Source organism: Homo sapiens, chromosome 12 (genome assembly GCF_000001405.40).
Source record: "Homo sapiens chromosome 12, GRCh38.p14 Primary Assembly".
NCBI classification, from domain to species: domain Eukaryota; kingdom Metazoa; phylum Chordata; class Mammalia; order Primates; family Hominidae; genus Homo; species Homo sapiens.
In genome coordinates this window covers 98,254,322-98,272,209 of record NC_000012.12, presented here as the reverse complement: position 1 = coordinate 98,272,209, position 17,888 = coordinate 98,254,322, and positions in this window count along the sequence as shown.

Sequence of the window (17,888 nt, the reverse complement as noted above, 5' to 3'; positions counted from 1 at the left end):
TATGTTGTCTCTTCACTTTTTTGATTGTTCTCTTTTCTGTGCAGAACCTTTTAACTTGATGTAATCTCGTTAGTCTATTTTTGCTTTTATTGCCTGTGCTTTTGAAGTCTTACATAAAAACTCTTTGCCCAGACGAATGACTTGGAGCCTTTCCCCGGTGTTTTCTTCTAGCAGTTTCACAGTTTTAGGTCTTAAAGTCTTTAATCCATTTTGATTTGATTTTTGCATATGGTGAGAGATAGGGGGATGAAGGTATAGTTTCATTCTTCTGAATATGGTTATCCCATTTTCTTAGCACATTTCCCCATTGTATGTTCTTAGCACCTTTATAAAAAATGAGTTTGCTGTGAATGCATGGATATATATCTGGGTCCTCTATTCTGTTTCATTAATCTGTGTGTCTGTTTTATTCCAGGGCCATGCTGATTTGGTACTTCAGGTTTGTAGTATATTTTGAAGTCAGGTAGTAGGATGCCTCCAGCTTTGTTCTTTTTGCTCAGGATTCCTTTGGCTTTTTGGAGTTTTCTGTGGTTTCATATTAATTTTGGATTTTTTCTATGTCTGTGAAGAATGTTATTGGTATTTTGATAGGGATTGCATTGACTTTGTAAATTGTTTTGGGTGGTATTGTCATTTTTAACAATATTAATTCCTCTAATCCATGAGCATGGAATATTCTTCAATTTTTTTTGTGTCCTCTTCAATTTCTTTCAGTGTTTTCATCATTGTTTTATGGTTTTCCTTGAATAGATTTTTCACAACTTTGGTTACATTGATTCCTAGGTATTTAATATTCTTTGTAAATGTGATTGCTTTCTTGGTTTCTTTTTAGATTGTTCACTACTGGTGTATGTAAATGTTACCGATTTTTGTATGTTGATTTTGTAAGTCAAAACTCTACCATATTTATCAGATCTATTTTTTTTTTTTTTTTTAGTGGGGTCTTTAGGTTTGTCTAAATATAAGATCATGTTGTCTGTGTACAAGAGTTAATCTGACTTCTTCCTTTCCAATTTGGATGACTTTTATTTCTTTCTCTTGCCCAATTGCTCTGGCCAGGACTTCCAGTATTATGTTGAATAAAAGTGGTGAAAATGAGCATACTTGTCTTGTTCCAGATCTTAGAGAAAAGGCTTTCAAGTTTTCCCTATTCATTATGATGTTGGCTGTGGCTTTGTCATGTATGGCCCTTATTATTTTGAAGTATGTTCCTTCTATACCCAATTTGTTGATGGTTTTTATCATAAAGGGATGTTGAATTTTATCAAGTGCTTTATCAGCTTCTATTAAAATGGTCATATGGTTTTTGTTCTTGATGCTGTTAATGTGATATATTATGTTTATTGATTTTCATATGTTGAATGGGATGAATCCCACATAATCATGATGAATGATCTTTTAAATATGTTGTTGAATTTGGTTTGCTAACACCTTGTTGAGGATTTTTACATGTATGTTCATCAATGATATTGGCTAGTAGTTTATTTTTTGTGTATGTGTGTGTCCTTGTCTGGTTTTGGTATCAGAGCCTCATAGAATGAGTTTGGAAGTATTCCCGCTTCTTCAATTTTTTGAAGAGTTTTGCTAGAATTGGTATTCATTTTTTTTAGGTGAAATTAATTTTAATATATATTCATTTAACCCAATATATGCAAAAATTATCATTTATTTTATTTTTTCTTTAATTTTTAAGTTCAGGGGTAGATGTGCAGGATGCACAGATTTGCTACGTAGGTAAATGTGTGCCATGGTAGTTTGATATTCAGTTTTCTTTAAATGTTTGGTGGAATTCAGCAGTGAAGCCATCAGATCCTGGCTTTTGTTTGATGGGAGACCTTTATTACGGCTTCAATCTTGTTACTCATTATTGGTTTGTTAAGATTTTTTATTTCTTCATAGTTCAATTTTGGTAGCTTGTATCTGTCCAGAAATTTATCCATTTCTTGTAGGTTTTCAAATTGGTTGGCATGTAATTGTAATTATCTCTAATGATTTTTTGTATTTCTATGGTCTCAGTTATTACATCTCCTCTTTTTGTTTCTGATTTTCTTTGTCTTTCCCCCTTTTTTCTTAGTTAGTCTAGCTAAAGGTTTGTCAATTTTATCTTTTCAAAAAACCAACATTTTGAATTTTTGATCTGCATTTTTTAGTCTCAATTTTATTTATTTCTGTTCTGATCTTCATTATTTATTTCCTTCTGGTAATTTTGAGTTTGGTTTGTTTTTGTTTTTGTAGTTCCTTGAGGTATATTATTAGGTTTTCAAATTTGAGGTCTTTCAACTTTTTTTATATAGGTGTTTGTTGCTATAAACTTCTCCCTTAGTACTTCTTTTTCTGTATCCCATAGATTTTGGTATGGCATATTTACATTTTCATTTGTTTCAAGAAACTTTAACATTTTCTTCTCAATTTCTTAATTGACCAATTGGTCAATTAGGAACATGTTGCTTAATTTCCACGTGTTTGTGTAGTTTTTGAGGTTCCTCTTGCTATCATTGCTAGTTTTATTCCATTATAGTCAGAAAAGATACTTTATATGGTTTTTACTCTTTTGAAATTGTTGAAGCTTGTTTTGTGGCCCAAAGTATGGTCTTTTTCTGGAGAATATTCCATGTACTGATGAAAATAATGTGTATTTTGTAGCAATTGGCTGAAATGTTCTGTAAATGTTAGGCCTATTTGATTTAGTGTGTAGTTTAATGTTTGTTGATTTTCTGTCTAGATGATCTGTCCATTATTGAGAGTGGGGTATTGAAGTCCCCTACTATTATTTTATTGCAGGCTGTACCTCTCTTTAGATCCATTAATGTTTGCTTTATATACTTGGGAGATCTAGTGTTTGGTGCATAGATATTTATAACTGTTACATCCTTTTGCTGTATTGACCCCTTCATTATTATATAGTGACTTTCTTTTTCTTTTTTTACATCCTTTGACTTGTAGTCCTTTACATCAGATAGAACTGTAGCTACTCCTACCTTTATTTTTAGTTTCTACTTGAATGGAATATTTTTTCTATCCTTTCATTTTCAGTCTCTGTGTGTCTTTATGGGTGAGGTGGCTTTCTTGTAGGCAGCATATAGTTGGGTCTTGTTTCTTTATCCATTCAGCCACTCCATATCTTTAAATTGGAGAATTTAGTACATTTAAATTCAGTGTTATTATTAACAAGTAAGGACTTACTACTGCCATTTTATTGCTTGCTTTTTGGTTGTTTTGTAAGTCCTCTCTTCTCTCTTCCTTTCTTACTGTCATCCTTTCAGGTTAAGTGATTTTCTCTGGTAATATGTTTTAATTTGTTATTCTTATTTTTAGTGTATTTATTATAGGTTTTTTCATTGTGGTTACTGTGAGGCTTACGAAAAGATCTTATAGATACAAGAAGTTACTTTAAAGAGATAACAATTTATTTTAGATCATAAAAAGGGAATAAAAACAAAGAAAAAACTGAAAAAAAAAAACAAAAAATAAAACCCAAAACCACTGCACTCTAACACCTTCTTTTCACATTTTGAGTTTTGGTTGTGTCAATTTACATATTATTATATTGCTTGGCCCTTGACAGGTTGTTACAGCTATTATTGTTTTTGATGAATCTGTCTTTTCAGTTTTATACTAGAGTTATAAGTGGATCGCACACCACTATTATAGTATTGGAGTATTCTGGGGTTTTCTCTGTTCTGAATTTTACCTGTGGGTTTTACACCTTCAAATTGTTTTGCACATTAGTGGATTTTTCTTTCAGATTGAAGAATTGCTTTTAGCATTTCTTGTAATACAGGTCTGATGGTGAATTCTCTTAGCTTTTGTTTGTCTGGGAAGGACTATCCTTCATACTTGAAGGATAGCTTCATTGAATAAAGTATTCTTTGTTGGTGGTTTTTTTCTTTCAGTATTTTGAAAATGTTGTTCCACTCCCTCCTGGTGTGTATGGTTTCCATTGAGAAGTCTGTTGCCAGACAAATTGGAGTTCCTTTATGTGTTATTTGTTCCCTTTTCTTGCTGCTTTTAGTATCCTCTCTTTGTTCTTGACATTTGGGAGTTTGATTATTACATGCTTTGGAGTAGTCTTATTTGGGTTGAATCTGGTTTATGTGTTATTTGTTCCCTTTTCTTGCTGTTTTTAGTATCCTCTCTTTGTTCTTGACATTTGAGAGTTTGATTATTACATGCTTTGGAGTAGTCTTATTTGGGTTGAATCTGGAGATCTCTGGACTTCTTGAACCTGGATACTTATATCTTTCTCAAGTTTTAGAAAGTTTTCTATTATTGGCTGGGTGCAGTGGCTCATGCCTGTAATCCCAGCATTTTGGGAGGCCGAGGCAGGTGGATCATGAGGTCAGAAGATCGAGACCATCCTGGCTAACATGGTGAAACCCCGTCTCTACTAAAAATACAAAAAATTAGCTGGGCGTGGTGGCGGGCACCTGTAGTCCCATCTACTTGGGAGGCTGAGGCAGGAGAATGGCGTGAACCCAGGAGGTGGAGCTTGCAGTGAGCAGAGATCATGCCAGTGCTCTCCAGCCTGGGCGACAGAGCGAGACTCTGTCTCAATAAAAAAAAAAAAGAATGTTTTCTGTTATTATATCTTCAAATAATCTTTTTAATCCTTTCTCTTGCTCTTTTCCCTCTTGAACACCAGTAATTTTTAGATTTGGTCTTTCGAGGTTATTTTCTGTATCTTGTAGGCAATCTTTTTTCCTTTTAATTCTCTTTTCTCTTCTGAAAGTATAGTTTCAAATTGCCTGTCTTCAAGTTCACTGATTGTTCCCTCTGCTTGATTCATTCTGCTGTTGAGAGCCTCCAGTGAATTTTCCATGTCAGTGAATGTATTTCTCAGTTCCAAAATTTCCGTTTGATTTTAAAAATTATTTAAATCTCTTAGTTAAATGTCTCTGATAAATTTCTGAGTTGATTTTCTGTATTGTATTGGAGATCACTGAGTTTCCTTAAAACTGCTATTTTGAATTCCTGGTCAGAGATCTCACATATCACCATCTTGTTAGGATCTGTCACTGGTTCCTTGCTTTGTCCATTTGGTGAGGTCATGGTTTCCTGTTGTTTCTTGTGGATGTCTATATCTTTGTATTGAATAATTAGTTATTTATTACTGTTTTCTCTGTCTGGCTTGTTTTGCTTTTTATTAGTTATGTTTGCTTAGATATTCCTTGTGATTTACTTGTTGAATTTCTTATATATTGTTTTCTGTTAGGCCACTGCCTTCTTTTTGGTACTAGATGGTGCCTAAAGCTCAGGTTTGTCTTGGTTCTAGCAAATAATTAGCGTGCTTCCTATTCAGAATGTGGAATGTCCCCAAAAAAGCATATCCTGGCAGTATGGAAAAGCTGGCTAAGGGTTCATTTTCAGGGGACCTATGGAACATACTTCCTACAGCATAGGGCTCCTGAACAGCCACTCTGCTCTGGTGTCTCCTTTGGCTGAGTTATAGAGCAGAGTTTTCAAGGCTGGAGATGGTGGTCCAACTTTGCCCGTTTTTTGTTGCCTGTCCTCAGGGATATGTCTCCCTTCAGGTAGTTACAGTGCTTCCTGTGGGTTAAGGCATAGACAGGTCTCCTGCCAAAGAGCCCGAGATGGTGGAGAAACTGCTTGTCCACCTCTATCTTACTTTTTCTAGTGTAGAAACCAGAAGTCAAAGGACATATTCCATGTGTTTGGTGCGGAGCAAATTTGGGGAGGGGAGTGAAGGATATGAGAATCTGATTTTCTTTCTGTCTGCTCAGAGTTTTGTTTTAAACTTCTCTGCGGCCCCAGAAATGGATTCATCCTTATGTTTGAGTTCTGGGATATTACTGGTGATAATCTCAGTGCTGCATATTGGGTTTTGGTTTTCTGTGGGGGGTGAGGGTAAGGATGGAAGCCAGCTTGTATGTATACCACCACTTTGGAATCAGAAGTCTCTATGCTGTGTCTCAGTGGCTCACTCATTTACTTGGAATCAGTACTGCATTCAGAACAATTCTTATCCCATTTGGAATGGCTTTTTTTGATGAGATCATAATTATGGCATATGCTGTTTGTTGACTACCTAAGCAGATACTCATTCCTTTATCTTTGCTAACAGAACACAGGTTTTGTTCAGGAAAAGAGTGGCTGAATTCTTCAGGGGCTTTGTGTTCCTCAAGGACTTTGTAATTTTAGCTCCAAGAGCTGAATCCTGATAAGTCTTAGGTTTTGTCTCTTGCCATTGATTGATTTAGGGCTGAGCATGTAATGTAATTTTGGCCAGTGAAACGTGAGATGAGGTAAAGTCTACAAAGTGGCTTCTGAGAAAGTTATCTTTGCTCATGATGAAGGACCTGGAAAAGGTCATTGTTGTATGTGGGTATGATATTTGAAAGAGCTAAAACTATTTGCAGTCATGAGGGAATATTCTTGAGGACCTCACTGAGGATAGTAGATTAGAAAGACAGGCTGGGCGCAGTGGCTCACGCCTGTAATCCCAGCACTTTGGGAGGCCAAGGTGGGTGGATCACGAGGTCAGGAGATTGAGACCATCCTGGCTAACACGGTGAAACCCCATCTCTACTAAAAATACAAAAAATTAGCTGGGTGTGGTGGCACATGCCTGTAATCGCAGCTACTCAGGAGGCTGAGGCAGGAGAATTGCTTGAACCCAGGAGGCAGAGGTTGCAGTGAGCTGAGATTGCACCACTACACTCCAGCCTGGGTGACAGAGGGAGACTCTATCTCAAAAAAAAAAAAATAATAAAAAATAAAATCAATAAAAAATAAAAAAAAGAGAAGAAAGACAAAAAAAACCTGGGTATTGAAAATATTACCAACTGCTGCTTTGATTAATGCTAGAACAACTTAATGTTTTGACTTCGCGTTTTGTGCTATATTAATTTCCTTATTATTTAACCCATTTTGAGTTGTTCCATCAGTTATGCATAGCTGACATAATCCTAACCAATATAAAAGAACTGCAAATATTAAAGAACTCACAGAATGTAAGCACTGAAAAGGATGTTAATATATTATTCAAAAAGCACTTGTTTGTTGAGAAAGATAGCACTGTGCTAGATAGTGGGTATAGCAGAGAACAAGACAGACACTGTCCCTGATCTTTTGGAACATATCGTCTGTGGGTCTTAGAAAGTATTTGGTCTAATCTTCTTATTGGACAGACAGGGATAGCTTTTATCTCTCTCAGTGTTGGTATAATTATTTTAGTCACTTAATATAGGAGGGTGGATCCTATTAAAGGAAAGACATAAGTTTGCCGTTCTTTTTGCTTTTGAACACACAGCTAGCTCTTTTGCTCATCTTGTTACTCAAAAGTGTTGGCTATTCAAGGTTGGGCTTGGAACTGAGTTTAGACATAAGGGTTGTAGAATGCTAAATTTCTGTGCAAAATAGGGTGAGAGGAATGTGAAATGACTTGGGCAATCTCTCTCCCTCTCTTTCTCTCTTTCTGTCTATCTCTCTCTGTGTGTATGTGTGTGTGTGTGTGTGTGTGTGTGTGTGTGTGTGTGTAAGACAGAGAAACAGCAAGACAGTCAAAGACTGAGTGCTAGACTAGAAAGACCAGTGAGAAATCCCCTACGTGTTGATGACCAAAGGAATTCCAAGATGAGACATGACTGATATGTAGTTTTAAGTATTTGCTGTATCACGCAGAAATGTAACTTTTTGGCAGTGACCTAGAAAAGTTTTGTAGAAATGTGAAAGTTTTGCTACACATCACAAGCTTTGTTCCCTGGTTACTTGAGTGAGAAGTCAGGAAGATAAAGGATTGACTTCAAGGCATGGAGCACAAAACAAGCATTCAGCAGAGGCAGGAAATGGGAGAGAATTCAGCAGAGGCAGGAAAGCATGTCCCATTCTCCTATCTGCCTCTGTGCAGAAATTTTGCAGAAATCTTGAAGAGGGCTCTGGACTTTCCACTAGATACACAATGGTATTTGACCATTTTAATTGACATCTTAAGGGGACAACTGGATTAGAGTCATACTCTACTGGTGGCTGCAGCACTCATCATAATAGTAATTATTCAATTATTGGGTCATTGCCTTCCCATCTAGAGAGTAAGCTCTTTGATGACAGGGCCCATGTCCATTTTCATGATAAAGTTCATATTAAGTAGGATTTAAAAATAAGTATTCAATTAATTTTTATTAAATAGTTCCCTTCTGGCAGAGAAAGACTGTAATTCAAATAGTCACAGTATTTCCCTTCCTCTGCTTGCAGAGGAGAAACAGTCTGCCCTCCTCTGACCTCTCCTAGGGAGAGAGCCTTGCCAGGTGGGTTCCAGAGTCAATTGTGTATGATTGTGGCTGTTGAAGAGACTCGGAGAAGTTGTGAGAGACCACCCAGTTTTACATGGAAAATATCAGAGAGCTATGGACAAGAGAAAAGTAACAGATATAGACACGGGGAAGAGAGGCAGAGAAAAAAATCTTGTTTGAGAGATCTGTGGAGCATAGGAGGGAGAGGAGAGGCTTTGGCGGCAGGTGCAGTGACAATTGAATGCACACACACATGCACAAATAAGATATTAATGTAGAGAGAAAGTGGCAGGAGGAATGGTTTCAATAAGTTTTGCTGTGTGTTATGAGTGGGATCTCTTTGGGTAAATTTCAATAGATTTCAATAAAGATATAATTTGCTTATTGGCTATTTTTGACTGTATTTCTTTGAGGCTGACTTCTAGGTGAGAAAACGCCAGCCTGGCTTTACGTGGGTTACAACCATGTGTAGCAGATTGAGTTTCACACTTTGGTGTCCTACATGCTGCCTCCAAGCACTTAGTGGAAACAGCAAATATTTCTTGCACGTAACTGAAATAATAATCGTAAGATTGTGTGCCATCCAATCTTATAGCTTCTAACTATGGAATGAATTAAGACTAAAATGAAGTACATTCTTAGGATTTGTTCTGCTCTTTAGTAGATTTAAAGAATGTGTTAAAACATGCATTGTGGAAAAGGACATTCCATTTTGAACTATTCCAGAAATATGCATAGGAACCATTTAGACTGATCTTATTGTCCATTTGAGTTAATCTGTGGGAAGCAAGGCACTCCCTATTGCTAGCCAGATCCTTCCAAGAATTTTAAGATATTCAAATTGGAATTTCTTTCTTCAAGCCCCCGAAGCTCACAGAAAAATCGCCCACATGGCCAGAGTCGAAGTTATGCCTCCCTGCTGGGGCTCAGTCAAACAAAGACATTCCTTCTTGTTGGTAACACATCTCTGTATCAGCTGAATTACCGGGATTTAAATTAAATGGAATCTCAGGTGAAAGGTTTTATTTCAGAGAGGCAACTTTCGTTTTGGCGGCAGGGAGAGAAGGCCCTCCTATCATCTGGTGGTAAGACGGGGGCTTCAGAAAGAGGCAGGAAGAGCTCTGCGAATGTTAGGTGGCTCAGTGGGGAGTTCAGGAAGTCACTGTTGTGTTCTTAAAGAGGCTATGCCAGAGGATTTTGGAGACCCAGATGCTTCATTCAATGAACTACAAATGGTGAGTACCTCTGTGAGACATTGAGTTGTCTAGTCCTACTCCTTACCTTTTCCATTTTCACCTCCCTTATTCCTGCCCTTCTAGGAGGCTAACGTGGAACTGTGTTTGTAGCCATGTTGAGGTAGGAGAAGAGTGTATCTCTTTATTTTTGTTTTTGAAGGCATTAAAAAAAATCTTAGGACTGTATGGAAGTACACACTCTGACATCACTTATAGGTGTCGCTAGGAGGAGGTGTGGATGCTTAATGACCCAACAGGAGATGTGACCCCTTGGGAGGCTTCCAGACCTTGCTTTCCTCTCTGGGCTGGCCAAGATGCTGGGTGTCCAGAAGAGGAGCTGTGGCCTCCAGGGACTGTTAGGTTACTCAGGGGGAAAACCACAGCGAACTGATTGGACCCCTTGCTGTCTGGGAGAAGTTCACTCTTTGAACCAGCCTGTCCCTGCCCTGCAATGTCCTCATGTGCCTAAAAGAAAAGAAATAAAGAGGTTGTAATTCCAAGTTAATCACCTAATAAGGGAGGCTGCTTGGGATGATGAGAGAAAAAAAAAACTAAAATGCATGGGAATGCCTTTGGAGAAGCACTTAGAACACCTGAGTGGGGAGATTGTTGGCAGAAAAGCTAAAGATGTGGCTTGGGTTTGTGTTTTAGGGTGAAGCTGAAGCAAAGCTCAAGGGACCTGTTTGTTACACACGGTCTCCAGCCTTTGTGCCCGTGGGAATATGGGCTCCGGGGGGTAGTCAGGGCTTGAGGTGTGGGGAAAAGGAGTGCCCAAATAAGTGCCTATCATCCGAGATTCAGAAGAAATCCTGTGAAGAATCTGGAGTTGTTTCAGAAGTTGCTTCAACCTAGAAGCCTTTCCTGAAACTCAGAATTATTGCACGCATACACACACACACACACACACACACACACACACACACACACACACACACACACACACATTCTTCAGGGGCAATGCCTCTTTAGTTTTTTATTTTCTTTTATTCTAGAAGGGGAGAGAATAGCATTGAGGTGGGATAACCAAAATGGGATTATTTTAAAATGCACTTTCCCTCCCCATTCTACAGGGGATTGAGGAGGATTATGTGCAGCTTTCATGAAATGTCTTGTGTTCCTCTCTGGGAAAGAAACTGTAAATGTCAAGTTATCAGTCTCTGTGATAACAGCTCACACAGGTACAGGCAGACCCAGCAGGGAGGAAAGAGCATGGCTGGCCCATACACTAGTGTCACCTGCAGTTACCAAGACCAAGACCCTAGTAGTCTGGTGTAGCCAACAGATGGAGAGGTGACAACAACTAGAGTCAGGGAAGGGGATGGGGAGCATGGCGACACGTGAGAGGTACCAACCACCCTGCAGAGGGTTGACAAAGCAGAAGCAGCAGGCTTAGTAGGTGCAGCCCCTCACTTCTCAAACCCAACCTCCAGGTGCCACTTTTATGCTTAGTGTTAACTGAGCTGCTCAGACCCTGATGTGCAAGCAAGCCACCTGGAGATCTTGTTAAAATAAAATTTCTGATTCAGTAAGCCTGAGGCTAGGGCTCCCCAGGTGATGTTGCTGCTGCTGGCCTGGGTACTATGCTCTGATTAGCAAGGTGTTAAGAGAATCTCAGGTCACAGCTGTATTTTTAGGTTGCACAGCTGCAATAGAAAGGTGAATCAAATTGTGTACAAAGATATACAAACACATTCTGCTGTCACTTAAGCTTACTAGTGTCAGGGGGAAATTGTCCAGATAACTCCAAATCTTTTGAATTTGGATTTGGAATGCTTTATATGAGTAAATGTTTGCTTTCTATGGCTGACAGTTGATGTTGGGGTGTTCAGGTCTATATAAAGATGGCTTAGTAACTTTTTTTTTTTTTTTGAGATGGATTCTCACTCTGTCACCCAGGCTGGAGTGCAGTGGTGTGATCTCGGCTCAATGCAACCTCCACCTCCCAGGTTCAAGCAATTCTCATGTCTCAGCATCCTGAGTAGCTGGGATTACAAGCATGTGCCACCACACCGGGCTCATTTTTGTATTTTTAGTAGAGATGGGGTTTCTCCATGTTGGCCAGTCTGGTCTTGAACTCCTGGCCTGAAGTGATCTACCCACCTCGGCCTCCCAGAGTGCTGGGATTACAGGCATAAGCCACTGCGCCCGGCCCTAAGATGGCTTAGTACTTATTGAGTACACACCAGCTGAGGGGAGGAGCATGCTGAGTGACAGGGGAGGCGAGCTTGCCATGTTCCTTGGCCAAGGACCACCTATAAAGTGTACAGCTTAACTGTGCATAGTTGGGAGCTGGCTTTTGCACTGGATATGTCTCCTCTGGTTAGGCTAGAGAGGGGAAGTTAACACTGTGCTCTTAAGGCTCCCTCTTCTAAGGAAGAAAATTAGGTAGGAAGAGACAGAACATAATGGCAAGAGAATGAAAGTCACGATATTGTTTGGGATTCTATTTTTTATCTTTGGGACGAGAGAAAAATGAATTCCATAGGAAGAAGGACAAATCAAGGGGAACAACATTAAAAAAAGAAGAAACAAAAGAGATGAGTGATGAAGAGAGGAAGGAAATCTCCTCAGTAGATAAAACAGATTTGCCAAATATATTACATTCATTAAGATTTTTCTCTGCTTATAATGTGTGCTTTTCGGAGGCTTTTCTTAGCATTAACGGACGCTCTGGGAGAGGAGAAAGTTGGCAGAGAGAAGCCTAGCAAATATATAAATAAGCTTTGGAGGTTTCAGAAGTTTCTCTTCCCACAATAGAATGTTCTGCAGCCTGGGCAAACTTTTTCTTACTTAAACAAATGCTTTGAAAGACAAAGATTTCATATCGTCAGTGGAACATTCAGACTAATAATTGCCTCTGTTCTTCTGCCTTGAAGTCTCAACAGCCAGCAGATTTATGATTCACTTTCAGCAATAAGCTCCTTCAAATAAATACCACTTTCCCCAGCTGCAAATTGAGTTTTCGCAAACACACAGAGATAGACTTCACTAACAGGAACTAAGTTTTCTTGGTGTGTATGTATATATGATGGTGAAACAATGTGTTTGCTTTCTTTCCCCCATCTTCTTGGGGGAAGATTGACTTGAACACTTTATTAAAAAATAACACTTTTAAGCAGCTGATTTGCCACCAGAAAGACTTTTTAGAAACTTGTGTTTGGGGAGCAAGGGGTGGAGATGAGAAGAGAACAGAAGGAAATTTGACTTTTCCCTTAGGTTTGTGAACCTCAGAAATCTTATGCAGTCTAAGGTTGAGGAGTTGAAACCTATTTACTTGGTAACTGTGGGGGAGATAATTTCAAAATTCTTAAAGCAAAATAAATGACACAAGCACATGTAGACATCAGAATTAAATTGAGGGCTGAAGAACCTGTGTTGGGATTCAGACTCTTTTATGTCAACATGTCTTCTATCCGTGCCTTTCAAGTGTCCAGACCAAGTCCATGAACATGATTGGGTTCCTTATTATTAAGGAACATTATTGGGTTCCGTAAATACTCCTGGCAGTGGGTGTGAGGCATGCATCCTCAAGGATGTGAGGCATGACACTGACACCCAAACAGATACATTTAAGTTGAGAACAACATGGTGGAAACACAGCTGTGTGAGTGCAGAGGATGCCCAATCTGGGGTACGGGGCAGGATAGCGGGTCCTCGAAGAGTCCTGCCTTGCTCTGGGAGGTGGCAGTCCCTACACGTTCTTGTCCACAAGCATTAAGCAGAGTAGAAGGCAACCAGGCCTCTTTCAACAGACCCAGGACACTATTTCTTTGGCCGGATCTCATGACACTGGTCTACGTTCCGTCTGGATTCCATTCTCAGTCCCTGCCTCAGTTTGCCCTTTTTGTAGTGACTGCCTTGATGATAATGACTCTTCATAAGCACTTGGTGGGTGTCAGGCATCAGGCTGCTAGCCATTTTTTAAAGTGTATTATTTTCTTGATACAGATATTATTGTCATATTATAGATGAGGAAGCTGATGTTTACAAAATGTAATGTAACAAACTTTCCCAAGGTCATACAAACTAGTAAGTGGTAGAATGTGGATTTAAATGCAAGCCTGTCTGACTTCAAAGCCTGTAACTTACACCATTAGCAACAACAACAGTTATTAACATTTATTGAACACTTACCTATGTGTACATAATTCCTATTATTTATTTTGTTTAACCCTCACATATGTTCCTCACATAAGCCTCACATGAGGGTAGCAGAGGTTTTTATCTCATTTTACAAATGAGGAAATTGAGGCTCAGAGATGTGACTAAGTTGTCCAAAGTCACCCAGCTAGTAAGAGGTGGAGTCTAGATCCAAGCTCAGGTAGCCTGGCTCTGGAGCCCTGCTCTTAACCAGCCTCATCACCCAGATGCTGAGACCCTACGTTGGTCACGTCCAATCTTTTAGTCTATTTCCTTTTCTATTCCTTCACTGTTCCCCCAAACATTTTCTAAACGCCTGTGGGTCCCAGGTGCTGTACTGGGTGACTGAGAGGTATGAGTAGATAACCAGAAGGATTTATTTAGAGAAATAATTAACTCTACTCTGAGCCAGTCACAATCAGGTGGGGAGGCAAGTCTGCAAAGTGTTCTAGCGCCACGTAACAGGCCCTGAAAAGGAGGTATGTGTGAGTGCACTGGTCACCTCTGAGAGGGTAGGAGCTGGCCCTGTGGAAGGTGAGGACACTCCTTGGAAGAGGCATTGTTTGGAAAAGAATCTTGAAAAGACAAGATCCACAAGGAGTTCACAAGGTAAAGGAGGGAAGAAAGGCATTTAATCTACCGAGAAAAACAGACCTCAATTGAAGTCAAGGTTTTTACCTTCTCACGTGAAGGGTTGGAAGAAGTTGATGGCTTGTTTGTGCCTCAGGAATCAACCATGCATAAAAGGCCACATAATAATAATAGCCGACATTTATTAGGTGCCTTCAATTGGCCAGGCAAATTTCTGAGTTGTTGCATGTGTTGTCTAATTCTCATGCTCATGCTAGGACACACATGTCATTATTATTTCCGGGTTCCACATAAGTATCACGGGGAGCCTCAGGGAGGGGACGTTTCCTTTTGCATCTAGTTTGTTTTGCTTCCAAGACAGGGATACAGATGTTTCTAAAGTGTCCACCGACCACCTCCATCTGAACTACCAGGGGGCTTGTTTAAAATATAGATGTCATGTTTAATGCAATAGAATCTGAATGATTTCTAAGACTCATTCTAAGTTGCCAAAGGTGAATCTGCAACACCCCAAATGCGGAAGCACCCCCTTCCCTGTTGGTGAGCACTGAGCATGTGGGGCAAATTTGTTCCCAGTTCATGAAGATTTTTGTGATCTCAATGGCCATTTACTAGCAGAACCAGACCAGACAGTTCTAGAGCGGCCGACATTTCTCCAGGAGGTGGAGTGTTTCTTTCCTCTTTAGTCCCACTTGTATATTCTAAGAAGTTATTTATTTATTTTTTTGGTAAGATTCTAAGCCTTGAGACAATAATTTTCAGAAATTAGGCCTCCTCTTTCAACAAGTGCTAAGGATGTGTTGATCTCTTAAGAAGAGAGCTGGCTGTTGGAATAATCTGGTCATGATTTTTCTCTTCAGCACGCATTTGGTCCTGATGGTTGTATCCAGAGGGTTTTATTCTTCAAGGTTGATTGGTTGTTCTAGCACAAAGGCTACTTTTCATTCACTCCCCTCTCCTGTGGGGGGCAGACTGTTGAGTGGAGACTATGGAAGAAAAGAAAGTGTGGTTGTCCACCAGGGAGATAGGCACAGTTCCTCTCAAAAGTAATCTCTTACCTTAAATGGCATAGAGGTGAAGGTAAGAAAATCTCTTACCTTAAATGCCATAGAGGTGAAGGATTTGGTGATCCTAGAGCAGCAAAGATGGGTCAAATGAAAGTACAGTCCAGTAGCATTATGTACACTCATATTGTTGCCACAATAATAAAAAGTAAAAAAAAAAAATGGAGTGAATGAATTGAATCTCCGTTTTCTCTTAGTTCATGCTAGCTGAGTCCTTGACAATGCTAAACTCTTAGAATTATGAATGTTCAGTGCAAGTGAAGAGTTGGAATGTGATATAAAGGCAAAAGGGATTGTTAAATTTCCTGTGTCTCCCCTTTTTCCAAAGCACCATGAAGAAACAGGTGCATGACACGGGGCTCTTTGATGACTATGTAAGTGCAATTTTCACTCCCGTATTCAGGTTGCCAACAATCGTTTACAGCAGGACGGGATCTTAATTCCTAACAGGTTTGCATGTATTCAAAGACTGACTTTGAATGTAATTTATACAGGTTGGAGAGATTTGGAGGAACAGAGAATCTGATGCCAAATGTAAGAATAAGCTTTATTTGGAAATGCTCATCCATCTGTTTAGTACTGACTATAAAACCACAATGAGTTTAAACAATGAGATGTGCAAAAAAGCACCTTGTATTCACAAGCATTTTGTCTAGCATGTGATCAAATAAACATAATCTACTTTGCTGATTGTTGTCAGGTTAAAATGCTGTACCAAGTGTGGGAGGGCTTTGAAAACTGTAGGTGGGCAGTTTGCTATCAAGGCTAGAGAGAGACTCTAAAGAAAATGTTTCACAAAGATAAGGTATTCATTCAACAACCAGTTATTTAATGGGTTTCCACTGTGTACCAATAAACTGTACTAAAACTTGAAATAATATGAGGAGCCAGGTAGGCACAGTTTTAATTGTATTGGAATAGGCAATCCTCAAGAGAAAGGAAATTAATCCAAGGATTTTAATAAGGTGTAATGACTTCTATGATGGGAAAAAGTATTCTTGCTGTGTAATAAGTCAGCCCCAGATTCAAAGGCTTGAAACAGCAATCATTTGTAATTTCTCAGGTATCTGCAGGTTGGGTGGCCTAGGCCAAGCAGCTTTGCAGATCTTCTCTGGACTCACTCATGTGTCCATGGTCATCGGGGGAACAGCTGATCTGGTCTAGGCTTGGCTGATGAAGCTTGCCTGGATGGTTCTACTCTAGATGATTTTATATTCCTCCTGGGATCAGCAGTTTAGCTCAAGTATGTTCTCATGGCTATGGCAGAATCAAAGAAGGCAAGTGGAAATACGTGAGACCTCTTAAGACTTAGGCTCAGAACTGGGACATTGTTACTTCTGCCTCGATCTATTGGTTAAAGAAAGTCATGGGGCTGAACTCAAATGTAAAGTCTGGGGAAATATTCTCTAACTCATTATTGGAAGAAATTTCAAAGTCATCCAAAAGAAGTGTGTGAATACAGTGAAGTATGACAAATTGGGGTGAGCAATGTGACCTCACTACATAGAGGATGTGCATTTAAGGAGACCTAAAGGATGAATAGGATTCATCCATATGAAAGGGAGTGGCTGGGGTAGTCAGGGAAGTATTCTAAGCAGGAGAAGCCATAAGTGGGCAGCTCTAGAGGAATGGCAGGTCTGAGGGACTGAAAGTAGGTCAGGGTGGATGGACAGAAAAAAAAACAATGGTAAAAATTGATGAGGAGGGAGAGCTTTACTGCATTAATAACTGACTTTGGATTTTCTCTTAAGGACCTTTGGAGCCATTGAAATATGGTTATTTGCTAGTCATCATTGGTTCCATGGTCTAGATTTAAGGGAGAATGTCCTTGCTCCAGTTTGCAGTTGCATAAGCAACAAACTGCACCTTTCTCAATATTTTGATTAGAGCTTTACACTATTTGTCCAATGTATTCCTATTCCCTTGGGCCCTCTGATTAATGTTTCTGCACAATCCCATTTTGACCTTTAGTAATTAGTGCAAATATTTTAAGTTCAGCATATTAATTCCTCTTGCAGGAAAAGCATTTTCTTTGAGAATCATCATAAATCATTTAAAAAATTAATTGGCCAGTTAGAGAAGAGGCCATGGTAGAGCAAATTCTGGCAGTCTTGTCTTGTTATGGGCTAAAGCTCTAGATGGTGGGAACAGTTTCTGACCTGCTCGGACCTTTGACCCATTCAAAGCAAAGACGTGTCTTTTTTCTCTCATTCCTCAGGGTCTTTAATCCTTTAAAGTGTTTTAAGGAGTTATGGCAGAGCTGGAAGAACCAGATTTTATTCCCAACACTGCCACTGATCATTTGGGTGACCTTGGGCAACTGACTTTTTCCTACTGGGCCTCAAAGTTTTTGTCAAAAAGTGGGTGTAAATGTGCCCCCATATTCCTTCCAGTTCTAAAATTCTTTGATTTTTGGATTCCGCTCTGAATATAATGGTAAGTCCACAGCAGAGACTTGTAGTTTTCAGTTCTGGAGACTGCCTGGAGTTCCCTTCACTATCATATGAAGTTGAAAATTGGGAAGGTTCATTAAAGATGAAGCAAAGTCAGGGAAAGGACACTGCATGCATGCAGGCAATAAATGAACTTATTATGAGTTAAGACATCTG